The sequence below is a fragment of the Homo sapiens genome, chromosome 3 (genome assembly GCF_000001405.40).
Source record: "Homo sapiens chromosome 3, GRCh38.p14 Primary Assembly".
In the NCBI taxonomy this organism is placed as follows: Eukaryota; Metazoa; Chordata; class Mammalia; order Primates; family Hominidae; genus Homo; species Homo sapiens.
Window position 1 is genome coordinate 46,573,568 of NC_000003.12, and position 15,707 is coordinate 46,589,274.

Sequence of the window (15,707 nt, forward strand, 5' to 3'; positions counted from 1 at the left end):
ATATATATATATGCAGTGAAGACAAGATAAAATCTGGGGACGGTGGTTGCCAGGACAGGGCTCTCAGAACAGCTGGAAGCTGGAGTAGGGAGGATGGTCTCAGCAAGGACTTCCCAGAGCAAATGAAATTTGGGCTGAGTCTCAAAGAAGCCAGTCCAAGTGCTCTGTAAGAAGGACCAGCCAGGTCATAGAAAATGAAATACAAACACCCAATAACCAAGCAACAATGAAATACTACTTTTCACATACTGTATTAACAAAATTTAAGATGCTTGCTGCAGCCAGACCTGGTAAGTACTTGGGAGATAAGCTCTCAATACCAACTCAAGGGGGAGGGAGGAGGGGCGGAGAGGAGATTGGTGCAGGCTTCTTCGAAAATAATTTGGAAGCATCCACCCTTTAACCAAGCAATTCCAGTGCTAGAAATTTACAAGAGGAATATGCTCTCAAGCGTTCACCAAGATATATGTACAAGGAAGTTCACCACAAAACGTGGAAACATGTCATGTCTATTCATTGATAAAATAATGTATACTATGTCTACATAGGAAGAAATATGATACGGCCCCCATGGCGCACGGAAAAAAAATGAAGTCCTCTCTTAAGCCCTTCTCCATTCCTCTTACGCCATTTATGTAACAATATGGCTCTAAAATGACTTGCTTGAGCATGTCTTCCCCACTGAAATTGCAGATTTTTGAATGCAGGAATCTGTCCTTTTATGTCCCACACAGAGACCTTTGGCAAATACAGAGTAAGTTTCCAGTTGCAATTTGTAAGTTTGCCAGTGAAAACAGAAAGCCATTAACTTGTTAATGAAGTGTGGCCAGGACACATTGGGTGGATAATGCTTCCGCAGGAGTGTAGCTCAGGTGTTAACAGAAGCTAAGCTTGATGAAATTAGAGGCCCCAGCATTCCTCAGCTGGAGGGTACATACATATACAGAACTCCCCCGCCCCCTCTGCTCTCTCTTATCTTCTGGCCTGCCTGGATGTTCAAGGGAACAATGACAGAGGTAAGACCTAAGTGCCCTATGATAAAAGAAGGCTTTTACCTTGAAATACTGTCATTGTAGTGCAGACATGGCATTCTTTTGTTAACTCTTTGGTTGGAATTTAGTTCTACGTGTTCTCAACTATTTAAACAAGGTCGAATTGGCTTTTGATAGCTAAAATTGATCCCATTCTCCAAGTTTATTTTCTTCCTTGAATTTTAGGCAGACACAGGAAGTCTGTCCTTTGATTATGATGTATTTCATTCCACCATTCTTGTTTGGATGGTTTTAAGTCAAATGCTTATTTGTGTGATTTTTAAACACAATTCTGCCCCAGTTTTTAATACACAATGTCTCAAGGGCAGTACCAAGAAATGGCCAACACCAAGAGCATTGTTTTTCATTTTCTGCTCTCAGTGCCTTTTGTAAGGGATGAGATGGGCTGCCTGTGATTGGGGAACCCCCGTTGCACAGCACTTCCCAATCCTAGGCCTGACCTTTTGACACAAAGCACTCATTGGCCTGGAGGCTGGCCAGCAGCCCAGTTTCAACAGTGACCAAGCAGAGGTGACCAGTGGCCATCCTAGGGTAGCCATTCAATTCCCCCACCTGGAGGCAGCAACAACTTTTTGCAGTTAGTACAATTAGAATCAACAATTACTGTTCTTTCTCTCCAGCCTCACAGTGGGGTTACTTCTCACAACTGTTTCTCCAGCGCCAAACTCCAGTCTACAGGCCGCCCAGTAGTAGACATCAAATACCTGTTAAATAGCCCTTACATCTCCAGCCCAACGGCAAATATCTAACCTCTCTTAAACACCACAGCCCTTCCCTTCCCCTTCTCCCCACCCCCCATCCCAAAACCTGGCCCAGGCTCTGAATACCCTGGATCCACTTGGCTTCCTCTGCAGTCAGTACCTATGGGGAATGGGAATCTCTTCAGGGGGTTCTGGTCCTTAGAGAAGGGATTTTGTGTGGCTGAAAAGCTGGCATCCTGGGGTTCTGGTCCCGTCAATGACAACATCGCCAGACTGGAGACCTCAGTTACTTCCTCTGAAAATGCAGTGATTTCCAGGGGTCCTATTTAAGCTCTAAAAATTCCACAAGAGCTTTAGATAAGGAAATAGCAACGCAGGGGTGTGTTCTTTTGCCAGTTCTGCCACAGGCCTGCCCAGTCTCTAAAGACAAGACATCCAAATCCCCCAATAGAACTAGTTGTCTTGTCCATAAAGTGAGACTAATATTGTGGGCGCTACTTATCTACTTAGCACCTTGGACTGGTGAGGACTGTGGTGCACAAGCTACCTTACAAATGTACCACACTGAGTAACATCTTTAAACCTCCTTGCAGCTCCAGGGCTAGCCTTCTCCTTTGCGGAGCCCTCCCCCACCTCCGGCCTCCTAGAGCTTCAGGCCATGTTCCCCTGTCCCCTGTGAATCTCAGCATGCTACCTGAAGCATTTCACCTGAAAAGGCCACACAGGGAGGAGGCGAAGCGCAGCAGGAATGAAATAGTCAACTGCTGTGGAGTTGGAAATGTTGCTGCATCCCACCATTGACTGGATGGGGCCTCACTCCCCCAATACAAATTATTTTACGTTTGCTTCTCCCAAGATCATGTGTAAGGCCGGGCGCGGTAGCTCATGCCTGTAATCCCAGCACTTTGGGAGGCCGAGGCGGGTGGATCATGAGGTCAGGAATTTGAGACCAGACTGACCAACATGGTGAAACCCTGTCTCTACTGAAAATACAAAAATTAGCCGGGCGTTGTGGCGGGCGCCTGTAATCCCAGCTACTCAGGAGGTTGAGGCAGGAGAATGAGGCAGGAGAATCACTTGAACCCAGGAGGTGGAGGTTGCAGTGAGCCAAGATCGTGCCATTGCACTCCAGCCCGGGTAACAGAGGGAGACTCTGTCGCAAAAAAAAAAAAAAAAAAAAAAAAAAAATCATGTGTAGAAGTAAATAACACCTCTTCCCAGCACCTGTGGATCCATGGCATTCACACAGGTAGGCACTGACGCTGAAATGGCCTCAGATGCTACCAATTCTTTCTGCCGAGGCCTAAATCCAATAAACAGAGATGGATGGAAACAACTATCTAATAAAAGTTTCGCATTTGTGTGCCTGGCAACATTAAGTAACCGTCAGGCTTTCCTTTAGAAATTGGAATTAAATGCGATTTAGAAACTATTAACGACTTTGGGCGTATTTAATAACACATGAAATAACCCGGAGGATTGAAATGTTAGGTGAGGCGACTCCGGCTCATAGACGCGCCTCTCCATCTGGGGCGTCTGGCACTTAGTGGAACCACTCAATAAACACGTTTACCCCTGCAAGCGGCACATCAGAGTCCGGGGGTAATTCTCGGTGTCGTGGGGCCAGGACGGCGAGGGGCTGGAAGAGGCCGCCCTGTGGGAGCTGGGAGGCTGAGATAAATTCCCGTGATTGGGGGCTGAAATGGCCTCCCATGCCGGACTGCCGTGGTTCTAGAACTTTTTCCTGGAACAGGCCGGCACTCCCACTGGAGAGTCCCAGCTGCTGCGCCTCTGGCCGCCCCTCCCCTCTCCCGGGCACCTGGCGCCGGCTCCCGCGTCCTTTCAGGAATTCACGTCCGCCTGGAATTTGCACTTCAAGTCTGGAGCCCCCAAGGAACCCCTCCTGACCCTGAACTTCTATCTCAGTTTCAAGCTTCCTAGTCTTCCCCACACACACACACCTAGCTCCTCAGGCGGAGAGCACCCCTTTCTTGGCCACCCGGGTATCCCCCAGGGGGAGTACGGGGCTCAAAACACCCTTCTGGAAAAACAAAGGTGGAAGCAAATTTCAGGAAGTAAAACTTCCTGAAATAAAATAAAATATCGAATGCCTTGAGACCCATACATTTTCAGGTTTTCCTAATTAAAGCAATTACTTTCCACCACCCCTCCAACCTGGAATCACCAACTTGATTAGAGAAACTGATTTTTCTTTTTTCTTTTTTTTTCCCAAAAGAGTACCTCTGATCATTTTAGCCTGCAACTAATGATAGAGATATTAGGGCTAGTTAACCACAGTTTTACAAGACTCCTCTTCCCGCGTGTGGGCCATTGTCATGCTGGTGGGCGTCCCGCCCACCTGAAAGGTCTCCCCGCCCCGACTGGGGTTTGTTGTTGAAGAAGGAGAATCCCCGGAAAGGCTGAGTCTCCAGCTCAAGGTCAAAACGTCCAAGGCCGAAAGCCCTCCAGTTTCCCCTGGACGCCTTGCTCCTGCTTCTGCTACGACCTTCTGGGGAAAACGAATTTCTCATTTTCTTCTTAAATTGCCATTTTCGCTTTAGGAGATGAATGTTTTCCTTTGGCTGTTTTGGCAATGACTCTGAATTAAAGCGATGCTAACGCCTCTTTTCCCCCTAATTGTTAAAAGCTATGGACTGCAGGAAGATGGCCCGCTTCTCTTACAGGTATGAGCTAATCTTGAATGTGAACTTTTTTTGATTGCTAGAGATTGCCAGCTTAGGAAGTAATGTTCTACACCTGTCATTTGATTTTTCTCTTGCTCAAGCCTTAAAAGAGCTGCCAACCGCACTGCTGTTTTTCCTGAAAGACCTGGAATTTCACATGGTTACTTCTAACTTTGCCATTGGCTTTTAACATTTTCGTGTTAATGTTAATTTTCATTTTATGTTAATGACTCTGCCTATGAAATAGTGTTTCTTTATTCTTGTACAAATAAAGGTCAGTACTACAACCAAATTTAAAATCTTCCGAAAAGATTAAAGGTATAAGCAGATTCAATACTTGGCAAAACTATTAAGATAATAGCAAAAAAAAAAAAAAAAACCCACATTTTTTACCTAAAAACCTTTTAAGTGATTGGTTAAAATAGTTTGGCCGGGTGCGGTGGCTCACGCCTGTAATCCTAGCACTTTGGGAGGCAGAGGCGGGTGGATCACCTGAGGTCAGGAGACCAGCCTGGCCAACATGGCAAAACCCCGTCTCTATTAAAAATACAAAAATTAGCCAAGCATGGTGGCGGGCACCTGTAATCCCAGCTACTCTGGAGGCTGAGGCAGGAGAATTGCTTGAACTGGGGAGGGGAGGCAGTGAGCCGAGATCGCACCATTGCACTCCAGCCTGGGTGAAAAACCGAAACTCCCTCTCAAAAATAAATAAATAAATACAGTAGTTTGTAAAATGATTCATCGGTAACATGGGATGCAGCTATTTTTTAATCCTTATATGAAAATTGTATGCAGGGGAAAACATGTGAAATAGAAGATAAAAGACATATACCTACTTAAAATTAGGTACTTATGTGAGGACAGGGCCTAAGAAATAATAATATATATTAAAAAGACTTGGATATTGGTGACTTTTTTTCAACATTTTTCTTTGTTACATGAATTAGCCATTAAAAAAAGAAAGATGGTGCTCTACAATTTCTTTTCAGTGATCTGTGGTCTTGTCCTTGTGATGAGAGGACCTGGGTGTTAACTTGTAAGGTTTTATTTCCTTTGTTTGGCTAACTCATGTCTGACTTCCTCTTCCTAGTGTGATTTGGATCATGGCCATTTCTAAAGTCTTTGAACTGGGATTAGTTGCCGGTGAGAGACCTTTTGTTCTTTTGATCACTCTCAATTTTTATGTGGCCTAAAATACAGACTCCATGAATTGATTTTGTCGTTAAGGGCTGGGCCATCAGGAATTTGCTCGTCCATCTCGGGGATACCTGGCCTTCAGAGATGACAGCATTTGGCCCCAGGAGGAGCCTGCAATTCGGCCTCGGTCTTCCCAGCGTGTGCCGCCCATGGGGATACAGCACAGTAAGAACTGCCTGACTTCGATGCTTCTGCCCTGGCCCTTCATGTGTCTCCTGAGTATCTTTCCAACACTCTTTCACCTAAAAGGGCACCTGGTTCTGGAACTGTGCAGGTGCTGGACTGCTTTTGGTTTTGGAAGTGAGACAAGGATTGTGTATTTTACTTCCCTAGAGTGCAGTTTTCCTCCCCTGAGTCCACTTCACACTGGGGAACCCAGAACCACCACTGGCCTATGCATGAAAATGACTTCTCTGCTCAAAGGCACAGAGACTTACTCTGATACAACACATTGGTGTTGTATTAACCTTCGCTTACAGGAATTGCCCTTGCACTTTTCCATCCCTACACCCTCAGTCATCTGTTCTTACCTTTCAGGTAAGGAGCTAAACAGAACCTGCTGCCTGAATGGGGGAACCTGCATGCTGGGGTCCTTTTGTGCCTGCCCTCCCTCCTTCTACGGACGGAACTGTGAGCACGATGTGCGCAAAGAGTAAGCAATTCAGAGGGGCGGGGAGCCGTGGAGAGGAGAGAGAAAGGGAAGTGGAAATTTCAGACCCAAGGCTATCGCCTTACCTGTTCATTCTCAGGAACTGTGGGTCTGTGCCCCATGACACCTGGCTGCCCAAGAAGTGTTCCCTGTGTAAATGCTGGCACGGTCAGCTCCGCTGCTTTCCTCAGGCATTTCTACCCGGCTGTGGTAAGCGGAGGTTCTCCTCTTTCTTTTGCCCTTTGAAGTTACGTAGTTGCCTTGGGGGGTGCTTAGTTAGCAGGCTCTCCTTGTACCTCTTGTCTTGCTAGAGCCTGGCAGCCAAAGTTCTGCTTATAAAAGCATCGCAGACTCCTGATGAGATAGTTGCCTTGGCCTCTTTGATATTTATTTCCTCGGGAACCTGGCTAGTCCTGCTGCCTTTCAGATAGAGATGTATTTCAAGTCTATTTGACATTTTATGGTCTGAACTTCTATTGAGGAAAATAAACAAGTCTCGGTCTCTTGTTAAACCAAGAGATGTTCTCTGGTGTTCCTTTCCTTTGGGTAGGGGGACCCAAACCAGGATGGGCAGCTCATTTAGAGCCCACCCTGACGACAAATTCTATCAGAGGCTTGGCCCCTTGCTAGTCCTTTAGAAACTTCCAGAGTCCTAAAAGTCCCTGGTAACCCCCTCCCCATACCTTACCATGACTGGTCACAGAACCCTTACCATGACTGGTCACAGAACCCTTTCACCTTCTTGATTTTTACTGATTTGAGGAATACAATGAAAAGAAGGGCAGCACCTGGAGAGGAAAAGAGGCGACAGTCCTCTCTCCACCCTAGCCTGAGCCAGGTTTCTAGGGCCCCCCAAATTCAGAGACCTATTATAGTTCTGGGCCTTGGAGATGTTAGAAATGGAAAATATTCAAGTCCAGGAAGTAAATGAAAGCAAACATTTCACTGAGAACAGGAAGGAATTCCCCAATCCAGACAGGGATTGTGTCTTTGCCATTTGCATCCTGGGTGTCAGGCTCAGGATAGGTGTTTGATAAGTGTGGGTTGGGTGATTGGATGTGTAGGGAACATGTTCTCTTCCTGGAACATGGGGCCCAATCAGAATCTAACCAGGTTGTGCTCATTCCTGCAAGTGAAGGCATCACCACTGGGCTAGGTTCCAGGTGTGAGTGTCCTGAGAAGAGCAGGTTCACAGTAGCGTATAGATATGCCACATTTGTGGGCAGCAGGATGAACTGCCAGAGAGGTTTGCTTTAATGACCAAGCATCCCTACCTTCCAGATGGCCTTGTGATGGATGAGCACCTCGTGGCTTCCAGGACTCCAGAACTACCACCGTCTGCACGTACTACCACTTTTATGCTAGTTGGCATCTGCCTTTCTATACAAAGCTACTATTAATCGACATTGACCTATTTCCAGAAATACAATTTTAGATATCATGCAAATTTCATGACCAGTAAAGGCTGCTGCTACAATGTCCTAACTGAAAGATGATCATTTGTAGTTGCCTTAAAATAATGAATACATTTCCAAAATGGTCTCTAACATTTCCTTACAGAACTACTTCTTACTTCTTTGCCCTGCCCTCTCCCAAAAAACTACTTCTTTTTTCAAAAGAAAGTCAGCCATATCTCCATTGTGCCTAAGTCCAGTGTTTCTTTTTTTTTTTTTTTTTGAGACGGAGTCTCACTCTGTCACCCAGGCTGGACTGCAATGACGCGATCTTGGTTCACTGCAACCTCCGCATCCGGGGTTCAAGCCATTCTCCTGCCTCAGCCTCCCAAGTAACTGGGATTACAGGCATGTGTCACCATGCCCAGCTAATTTTTTTGTATTTTTAGTAGAGATGGGGGTTTCACCATATTGGCCAGTCTGGTCTCGAACTCCTGACCTTGTGATCCACTCGCCTCAGCCTCTCGAAGTGCTGAGATTACACACGTGAGCAACTGTGCAAGGCCTGGTGTTTCTTGATACATGTAATTCTACCAAGGTCTTCTTAATATGTTCTTTTAAATGATTGAATTATATGTTCAGATTATTGGAGACTAATTCTAATGTGGACCTTAGAATACAGTTTTGAGTAGAGTTGATCAAAATCAATTAAAATAGTCTCTTTAAAAGGAAAGAAAACATCTTTAAGGGGAGGAACCAGAGTGCTGAAGGAATGGAAGTCCATCTGCGTGTGTGCAGGGAGACTGGGTAGGAAAGAGGAAGCAAATAGAAGAGAGAGGTTGAAAAACAAAATGGGTTACTTGATTGGTGATTAGGTGGTGGTAGAGAAGCAAGTAAAAAGGCTAAATGGAAGGGCAAGTTTCCATCATCTATAGAAAGCTATATAAGACAAGAACTCCCCTTTTTTTCCCAAAGGCATTATAAAAAGAATGAAGCCTCCTTAGAAAAAAAATTATACCTCAATGTCCCCAACAAGATTGCTTAATAAATTGTGTTTCCTCCAAGCTATTCAATTCTTTTAACTGTTGTAGAAGACAAAATGTTCACAATATATTTAGTTGTAAACCAAGTGATCAAACTACATATTGTAAAGCCCATTTTTAAAATACATTGTATATATGTGTATGCACAGTAAAAATGGAAACTATATTGACCTAAATGTGAACTGGTTATTTCTAGGTGGTGAGGTGCTTTATGGTGGTGGGTTTTTGCTCTTGATGCCCTTTTTGCATTTTCCAAAGTACCATGGTGAGGATGTGTTATATCTTTTCCAGGGTCCTAAAAGTCCCTGGCAACTCCCTCCCCATACCCTACCATGACTGGTCACAGAACCCTTTCACCTTATTGATTTGTACTGATTTCATATGGAATATGGCAACTACATCTGGCTCAAAACAAAGGAAACCAGAAGAGCCAAGTCCCAGGTGAGTGCTCAGTTCTGTTTCTAGCTTTGACGTGTGTGTTCTTCTGTGAAGGACAAAATTTGCTTCTATTATTTAGGTACCATAATTTGTGTTTTTCCAAATTAATTCCCTGCAGATGCAAACTGCCAAATAGGTGACATTTTTTACAATGCCCAATGGAAAGAAAGTAAAATGGAATAAGCAGGAAGCAGTGAGGTGTACCAGAAAGCACAAAATCAGGAGGTAGACAGGCTGAATTTGGAAGGTGGTCTGGCCACTTACTGACAGTGGGACCCAGCTTCCTAATCTGAATCTGGATTAGTGCCTACATCACAGTATTAGAACTAAGTGACATAAAATAGTTAAATAGTTAAAACATTTATACAAAATAGATTCTCAATAAATGTCACATTTTCTTCTCTTTTTACCTGCATATTTACCGCAGAGGGTTTAAAAACATTTTTGGGGCCAGAAATAGAATTTATTTTTTTCTGAGACAGGGTTTCATGCTTCCGCCAGGCTGGACTGCAGTGGTGCATTCAGAGCAGTCTTGACTGCAGCCTTGACTGCCTGAGCTCAAGCACTCCTGCCACCTCAGTCTCCCAAGTAGCTGGGACCACAGGAGCACACCACCACACCCAGCTAATTTTGCTTATTTTTTACAGAGATGGGTTCTTGATTTAAGCCACGTCATCTGTGCTTATGCTTTTCTTTATATCAACTTATTTTTATGGTGGTAAAATATACATAACATTTACCATTTTAATCATTTGTAAGTTCAGTAGCATTTAAGTACATTTGCATTGTTGTGCAACAGTCACCACCATCTATTTCCAAAACTTTTTCATCATCCCAAGCTGAAACTCTACCTATTAAACATTAACTACCCCTTTGCCCTTCCCCAGGCCCTCGGTAACCACACTTACTTTGTCTCTGAATTTGACTGTTCTGGATACCTCCAGTAGGGGGAGTTATACGCTATTTGTCTTTTTGTGTCACATCGTGTCTTCAAGGTTCATCCATGTTGTAGCATGTGTCAAACTTTTTTTTTTTTTTTTTTGAGACAGGGTCTCGCTCTGTCGCCCAGGCTGGAGTGCAGTGGCGCCATCTCTGCTCACTGCAAGCTCCGCCTCCCGGGTTCACGCCATTCTCCTGCCTCAGCCTCCCAAGTAGCTGGGACTACAGGCGCCCGCCACCATGCCCGGCTAACTTTTTGGGGTTTTGTTGTTGTTGCTGTTGTTGTTTTAGTAGAGACGGGATTTCACCGTGTTGGCTAGGATGGTCTCGATCTCCTGACCTTGTGATCCGCCCACCTCGGCCTCCCAAAGTGCTGGGATTACAGGCGTGAGCCACCATGCCCAGCCAATGGGTGCTGTTTTAAAGGCCTGACATCAGAGAATGGTTTACTTATCAGAGCTCAGCCTCCACCATGGAATATTACATCACCTTTAAAAAATCATCTTTAGAAAGGATTTTTAATGCTCTGGAGAAATACTTAAGATACTATGTCAGGTGTTAAAGGGAGAAGACAGTATGGTCTCAACTAGAATTCTTAAAAGGTAAGAAACATAAAAACATTAAAGCGGTCAGTTCTGAATAGGATAATTATGGGTAATTTAACAAAAAATTTTTTAAACAACAATAGCATGTTAAATAAAAGAAAATTAGAGGCCAGGCATGGTGGCTCACGCCTGTAATCCCAGCACTTTGGGAAAAGGCCGAGGTGGATGGATCACTTGAGGTCAGGAGTTTTGAGACCAGCCTGGCCAACATGATGAAACCCCATCTCCACTAAAAAAAAATACAAAAATTAGCTGAGTGTGGTGGTGTGTGCCTATAATCCCAGCTACTGGGGAGGCTGAGGCAGGAGAATTGCTTGAACCTGGGAGGCAGAGGTTGCAGTGAGCCAAGATCCCACCCCTGTACTCCAGCCTGGGCGACAGAGTGAGACTTCATCTCAAAAAAAAAAAAAGAAAATTAGAGGAAACGCAACACTGGTAGAAGCAGTTGCTTTAGAACGTGTCTGAGATGAGGTTCCCGAAGAGACTCATCCCAGAGGGGTTTCTTGAGGAGTGCCCTGGGTGCAGCCCTTGCCAGCCAGGGAGAGGGAACACTGATGCTGCAGTCAGCAGACACCTCACCTGCATTGCTGTGTGTGATGGGGAGCTCTGGAGCCATGGGGAGTTCTGGAACTGGGGTGGCCCTTCAGAGTTGTCCCCAGCTGAAGCAAGAAACCAGGTCTTTCTACCCCCCCCACATCAATGGTAATGGAGCACAAGCTGCCCCCGGGAGGGCGCATGGCCTTGGGTAAGTGGACTCCTTTGAGTTAAGGACAGTTCATACCTAACACCCCCAGCCTCTGGGAGAAGGTGGGTCTCATCACAGTCCACCGCTCATGCTGCTGGTTCCATTTCCTCCAGGATTCTGAATGATCAGTTTTCCTGGGTGAACTTCAACAGAGTAGGATTGGTGGGGCAGACTACAGTCCCCTCTCCTGCAGCTGATCTCAGAGCACAACAGAAAACTGAGGTACATGTCCCTCCTGTACCCATTCTGCCTCCCCTTGCCCTGAGCTAGCACCTCTGCTCTTGTATGTGGCTTACCTGGTGGGGGTGACCAAACCTTCATCCCTAGGGGGTCTAAATCCCTGATTCCCATGCCCTTCTCAAGCTCAAATTGGGCAGGGAGTACCAAAATATACCCCTGTGGATCACCTGAGCTGAAACTTTGTACCCCCACAGCATTAGAGTCTTCCCTGGGAGGAAGCACCTCCTTGGCCTCAGCAGTTCCTGTCAGTCAAGGGTGAGTCCCAGACAGACACTAAGCCAGGAGCAGCCAACATGCTCTAATCCACCCCCAAGGAGTGCCCCCATGACCTTCTCACATGTATACTGCCTGGCCCGTGCTGCTTCAATAACTGAACATTTAGCTTCTCTGATCACAACTTCTGTGCTCCACAATTATCCTTCTACCTCACAGCTAACTCCTGAGCAACACAGGGGTTAGGGGAACTGACCCCTCGCTTAGTTGAAAGTCCATGTATAACTTTGGATTCCCCCAAAACTTAACTACTAATAGCCTACTGTTGACCAGAAGCCTAATTGACAGTCAATTAACACGTATTTTGTATGTCATGTGTATTATATGTTGTATTCTTGAAATAAAGTGTTGTATTCTTGAAACTAAAGAAAAGAAAAGATGATTAAGAAAATCATAAGGAAGAGAAAATATATTTACTATTCATACAGTGGAAGTGGGTCATCATAAAGGTCTTCATCCTCATCATCTCCATGTTGAGTAGGCCAAGGAGGAGAAGGAAGAGGAGGGGTTGGCCTTGCTGTCTCAGGGGTTGTGGAGATGAAAGAAAATTCGTGTATAAGTGGATTCATGCCATTCAAACATATGTTGCTCAAGGGTCAACTGTGTATTATTTTATGAAACTATATGTGCCATTTCACAGGTCACCTCAGGACTTAGCTGTTGCAATAATCATGCAACAGTTAATGTTTAACTGCTTCTTTCTTAGCTTAGACATTAATCAGGAGCCATGCACTACTCCCATTTGTCAACATTCTCTGGTAGGGCTCCTCTCTGGCCTCAGCAAAGTCTTAACCAAAAAAACAAAACAAGAAAAAAAGGTTGCGTGGGGAGAACCCAGGGAGTCTGACTCTTCATACTTTTCTGCAAGAACATCTCCCATCTGTAGCGCCCCCAGAGCATGGGTGACAGTCCATGTCTGTCCCCTCTATAAATGCGGGAGCAGGGACACAGTCACTCCAAATTCTACCAGCCAGTGGGGAGTCTCCAGGTGCCTTCTATGAGCAAACAGGAAGAATGCAGTTACCTGTGAGCTCACTGTTTTGTCTTGGAGCTATCATTTTGTAAAAGCTTCACCTTTAAACATTTCTACAGCTGACAAAACCAGTTGGCCCTACATTGATTCTACCAACATTGGAGAGTAGTCAGCTGTACAGATTTTGTCAGCTATTGCACATGCACTCGTTAATTAAAAAGAATAAAAAGAGACTACCAAATTTCATCAAAGGAGCCAACAGGAGGAATGGAGGGGAGGCCCTGGGGAAGGCAGCACTAGAGCCAAGGGCAGGGCTTGGCAGCTCAGGGATGAGCCCTCTATGACTGTTTGCTAAGGAAAGAGCTGAGGGTCAGCCCTGCTGAGCACCTGAGGACCAGATAGAGGAAGGAGGAACAACCCGTGAGAAGACTTGAAGGTGGAGGAAGCTTTACCGACCTGGCGAGTGTGGCTGAGAAGTCAGGAGCTAAAGGATTTGAACCCCCATTTAATCAGAGGCAGCCCACAACACACAATGGGAAAGCATCCTGGGCTGCCACTGGCACCCCAGGGCTGACAACCTCACAGGCTGTTCAAGGAGCACAGCAAAGACAGCCCACATTTTAAAAGCTGGCATGGATGTCAATAGGCCTTACGAAGTGGTTATGAGCCTTAAAATGTAGTGCTGAGATTGCAGCTCCAACTCGGATGGACAGAGTAGCATGCGGAGGCTCACATGGTGAATTTTAGCTCCAGAACGAGTGCAAAAACAAACCGGCAATCCCGAGAGGACCCACAGACCCTCTCAAGGAAGTGGACTGCTCCTGCAGGACCTGGGAGACACCCCAAATACTGTGCTGGTATCCATGGCTGAGAGACCCATAGATGGTTCATATCACAGGACTCTGTGCAGACAACCCCCAGTATCAGCCAGAGCCTGGTAGACTTGCTGGGTGGCTAGATCCAGAAGAGAGATAACAATCACTGCAGCTTGGCTCTCAGAAAGCCACATCCGTAGGAAAAGGGGGAGAGTACTACATCAAGGGAACACCCCATGGGACAAAAGGATCTGAACAACAGCCTTCAGCCCTAGACCTTCCCTCTGACAGAGCCTATCCAAATGAGAGGGAACCAGTAAACCAACTCTGGTAATATGACAAAACAGGCTCTTTAACAACCCTAAAAAATCACACTGGTTCACCAGCAATGGATCCAAACCAAAAAGAAATCCCTTATTTACCTGAAAAAGAATTCAGGATGTTTGTTATCAAACTAATCAGGGAGGCACCAGAAAAAGGTGAAGCCCAATGCAAGAAAATCCAAAAAGGATACAAGAAGTAAAGGGAGAAATATTCAAGGAAATAGATAGCATAAAGAAAAAACAATCAAAACTTCAGGAAACATTAGATATAGAAATGCAAAATGCTCAAGAAAGTCTCAGCAATAGAATTGAACAAGTAGAAGAAAGAAATTCAGAGCTCAAAGACAAGGTCTTCAAATTAACCCAATCCAACACAACCAAAGAAAAAAAAATAAGAAAATATGAACAAAGCCTCCAAGAAGTCTGAGATTATGTTAAATGACCAAACCTAAGAATAATCGGTGTTCCTGAGGAAGAAGAGAAATCTAAAAGTTTGGAAAACATATTTGGGGGGAATGATCGAGGAAACTTCCCGGCCTTGCTAGAGACTTGGACATCCAAATACAAGAAGCACAAAGAACACCTGGGAAATTCATCACAAAAAGCTCCTCGCCTAGGCACATTGTCATTAGGTTATCCAAAGTTAAGATGAAGGAAAGAACCTTAAGAGCTGTCAGACAGAAGCACCAGGTAACCTATAAAGGAAAACCTATCAGATTAACAGCAGATTTCTCAGGAGAAACCCTGCAAGCTAGAAAAGATTGGGGCCCTTTCTTCAGCCTCTTCAAACAAAACAATTATCAGCCAAGCATTTTGATCCAGCAAAACTAAGCGTCATATATGAAGGAAAGATACAGTCTTTTTCAGACAAACAAACGCTGAGAGAATTTGCCACTACCAAGTCACCACTACAAGAACTGCTGAAAAAGAGCTCTAAATGTTGAAACAAATCCTGGAAACACATCAAAACAAAACCGCTATAAAGCATAAATCACACAGGACCTATAAAACAAATATACAATTTATAAAGCAAAAACAAAAAACAAAAAAAACAAGGCACACAGGCAACAAATAGCACAATGAACGAAATGGTACCTCACATCTCAATACTAACATTGAATGTAATTGGCCTAAATGCTCCTCTTAAAAGATACAGAACTGGAGAATGGATAAAAAAATCACCCACCAACTAACTGCTGCCTTCAGGAGACTCACCTAGCACATAAGGACTCACATAAACTTAAAGGGATGGAAAAAGGCATTTCATGCAAATGGACGCCGAAAGCGAGCAGGGGTAGCTATTCTTCTATCAGACAAAACAAACTTTAAAGCAACAGCAGTTAAAACAAAGAGAGTCATTATATAATGGTAAAAGGCCTTGTCCAACAGGAAAATATCACAATCCTAAACATATATGCACCTAACACTGGAGGTCCCCAATTTATAAAACAATTACTAAAAGACCTAGGAAATGAGATAGACAGCAACACAATAATAGCAGGGGACTTCAGTACTCCACTGACAGCACTAGACAGGTCATCAAGACAGAAACTCAACAAAGAAACAATGGATTTAAACTATACTTTGGAACAAATGGACTTAGCAGATATATACAGAACATTTCATCCAACAACTG

At 44.7% G+C, this 15,707-nt stretch overlaps 1 protein-coding gene across 2 annotated transcripts, besides 11 other annotated features; it reads left to right on the top strand.

Moving 5' to 3' along the window:
- Positions 435 to 1,207: an enhancer, noted in NCBI's record as "OCT4-NANOG-H3K27ac hESC enhancer chr3:46615492-46616264 (GRCh37/hg19 assembly coordinates)". NCBI's record gives its function as "activates a minimal SCP1, AML or CMV promoter by ChIP-STARR-seq in naive H9 embryonic stem cells {active_cell/tissue: H9 hESC(naive)}" and the evidence as "EXISTENCE:reporter gene assay evidence [ECO:0000049][PMID:30033119]".
- On the top strand, positions 968 to 8,890 carry CRIPTO (cripto, EGF-CFC family member). Of its 2 annotated transcripts, none has more exons than NM_001174136.2 (6): positions 968 to 1,016; positions 5,528 to 5,580; positions 5,665 to 5,799; positions 6,172 to 6,286; positions 6,384 to 6,493; positions 7,565 to 8,890. In NM_001174136.2, exons 2-6 carry the CDS (start codon positions 5,541 to 5,543, stop codon positions 7,681 to 7,683), a joined length of 519 nt encoding a protein of 172 aa, NP_001167607.1. In that variant the 5' UTR covers positions 968 to 1,016; positions 5,528 to 5,540; the 3' UTR covers positions 7,684 to 8,890. The 2 variants fall into 2 exon arrangements, with proteins under 2 accessions (NP_001167607.1, NP_003203.1); NM_003212.4 differs by lacking the exon at positions 968 to 1,016 and adding an exon at positions 4,221 to 4,437.
- Positions 1,208 to 1,980: an enhancer, noted in NCBI's record as "OCT4-NANOG-H3K27ac hESC enhancer chr3:46616265-46617037 (GRCh37/hg19 assembly coordinates)". NCBI's record gives its function as "activates a minimal SCP1, AML or CMV promoter by ChIP-STARR-seq in naive H9 embryonic stem cells {active_cell/tissue: H9 hESC(naive)}" and the evidence as "EXISTENCE:reporter gene assay evidence [ECO:0000049][PMID:30033119]".
- Positions 2,754 to 3,525: an enhancer, noted in NCBI's record as "NANOG-H3K27ac-H3K4me1 hESC enhancer chr3:46617811-46618582 (GRCh37/hg19 assembly coordinates)". NCBI's record gives its function as "activates a minimal SCP1, AML or CMV promoter by ChIP-STARR-seq in naive H9 embryonic stem cells {active_cell/tissue: H9 hESC(naive)}" and the evidence as "EXISTENCE:reporter gene assay evidence [ECO:0000049][PMID:30033119]".
- Positions 2,754 to 3,555: a biological region, named in NCBI's record as "NANOG-H3K27ac-H3K4me1 hESC enhancer GRCh37_chr3:46617811-46618582".
- Positions 3,386 to 3,555: an enhancer, noted in NCBI's record as "experimental_70373 CRE fragment used in MPRA reporter constructs". NCBI's record gives its function as "activates a minimal promoter by MPRAs in K562 erythroleukemia cells, with activity observed for both the introgressed and non-introgressed 3:46618528 variant alleles {active_cell/tissue: K562}" and the evidence as "EXISTENCE:reporter gene assay evidence [ECO:0000049][PMID:34662402]".
- Positions 3,526 to 4,299: an enhancer, noted in NCBI's record as "NANOG-H3K27ac-H3K4me1 hESC enhancer chr3:46618583-46619356 (GRCh37/hg19 assembly coordinates)". NCBI's record gives its function as "activates a minimal SCP1, AML or CMV promoter by ChIP-STARR-seq in naive H9 embryonic stem cells {active_cell/tissue: H9 hESC(naive)}" and the evidence as "EXISTENCE:reporter gene assay evidence [ECO:0000049][PMID:30033119]".
- Positions 5,072 to 5,844: an enhancer, noted in NCBI's record as "OCT4-NANOG-H3K27ac hESC enhancer chr3:46620129-46620901 (GRCh37/hg19 assembly coordinates)". NCBI's record gives its function as "activates a minimal SCP1, AML or CMV promoter by ChIP-STARR-seq in naive H9 embryonic stem cells {active_cell/tissue: H9 hESC(naive)}" and the evidence as "EXISTENCE:reporter gene assay evidence [ECO:0000049][PMID:30033119]".
- Positions 5,072 to 6,616: a biological region, named in NCBI's record as "hESC enhancers GRCh37_chr3:46620129-46620901 and GRCh37_chr3:46620902-46621673".
- Positions 5,757 to 5,926: an enhancer, noted in NCBI's record as "experimental_70374 CRE fragment used in MPRA reporter constructs". NCBI's record gives its function as "activates a minimal promoter by MPRAs in K562 erythroleukemia cells, with activity observed for both the introgressed and non-introgressed 3:46620899 variant alleles {active_cell/tissue: K562}" and the evidence as "EXISTENCE:reporter gene assay evidence [ECO:0000049][PMID:34662402]".
- Positions 5,845 to 6,616: an enhancer, noted in NCBI's record as "NANOG-H3K27ac hESC enhancer chr3:46620902-46621673 (GRCh37/hg19 assembly coordinates)". NCBI's record gives its function as "activates a minimal SCP1, AML or CMV promoter by ChIP-STARR-seq in naive H9 embryonic stem cells {active_cell/tissue: H9 hESC(naive)}" and the evidence as "EXISTENCE:reporter gene assay evidence [ECO:0000049][PMID:30033119]".
- Positions 6,073 to 6,242: an enhancer, noted in NCBI's record as "experimental_70375 CRE fragment used in MPRA reporter constructs". NCBI's record gives its function as "activates a minimal promoter by MPRAs in K562 erythroleukemia cells, with activity observed for both the introgressed and non-introgressed 3:46621215 variant alleles {active_cell/tissue: K562}" and the evidence as "EXISTENCE:reporter gene assay evidence [ECO:0000049][PMID:34662402]".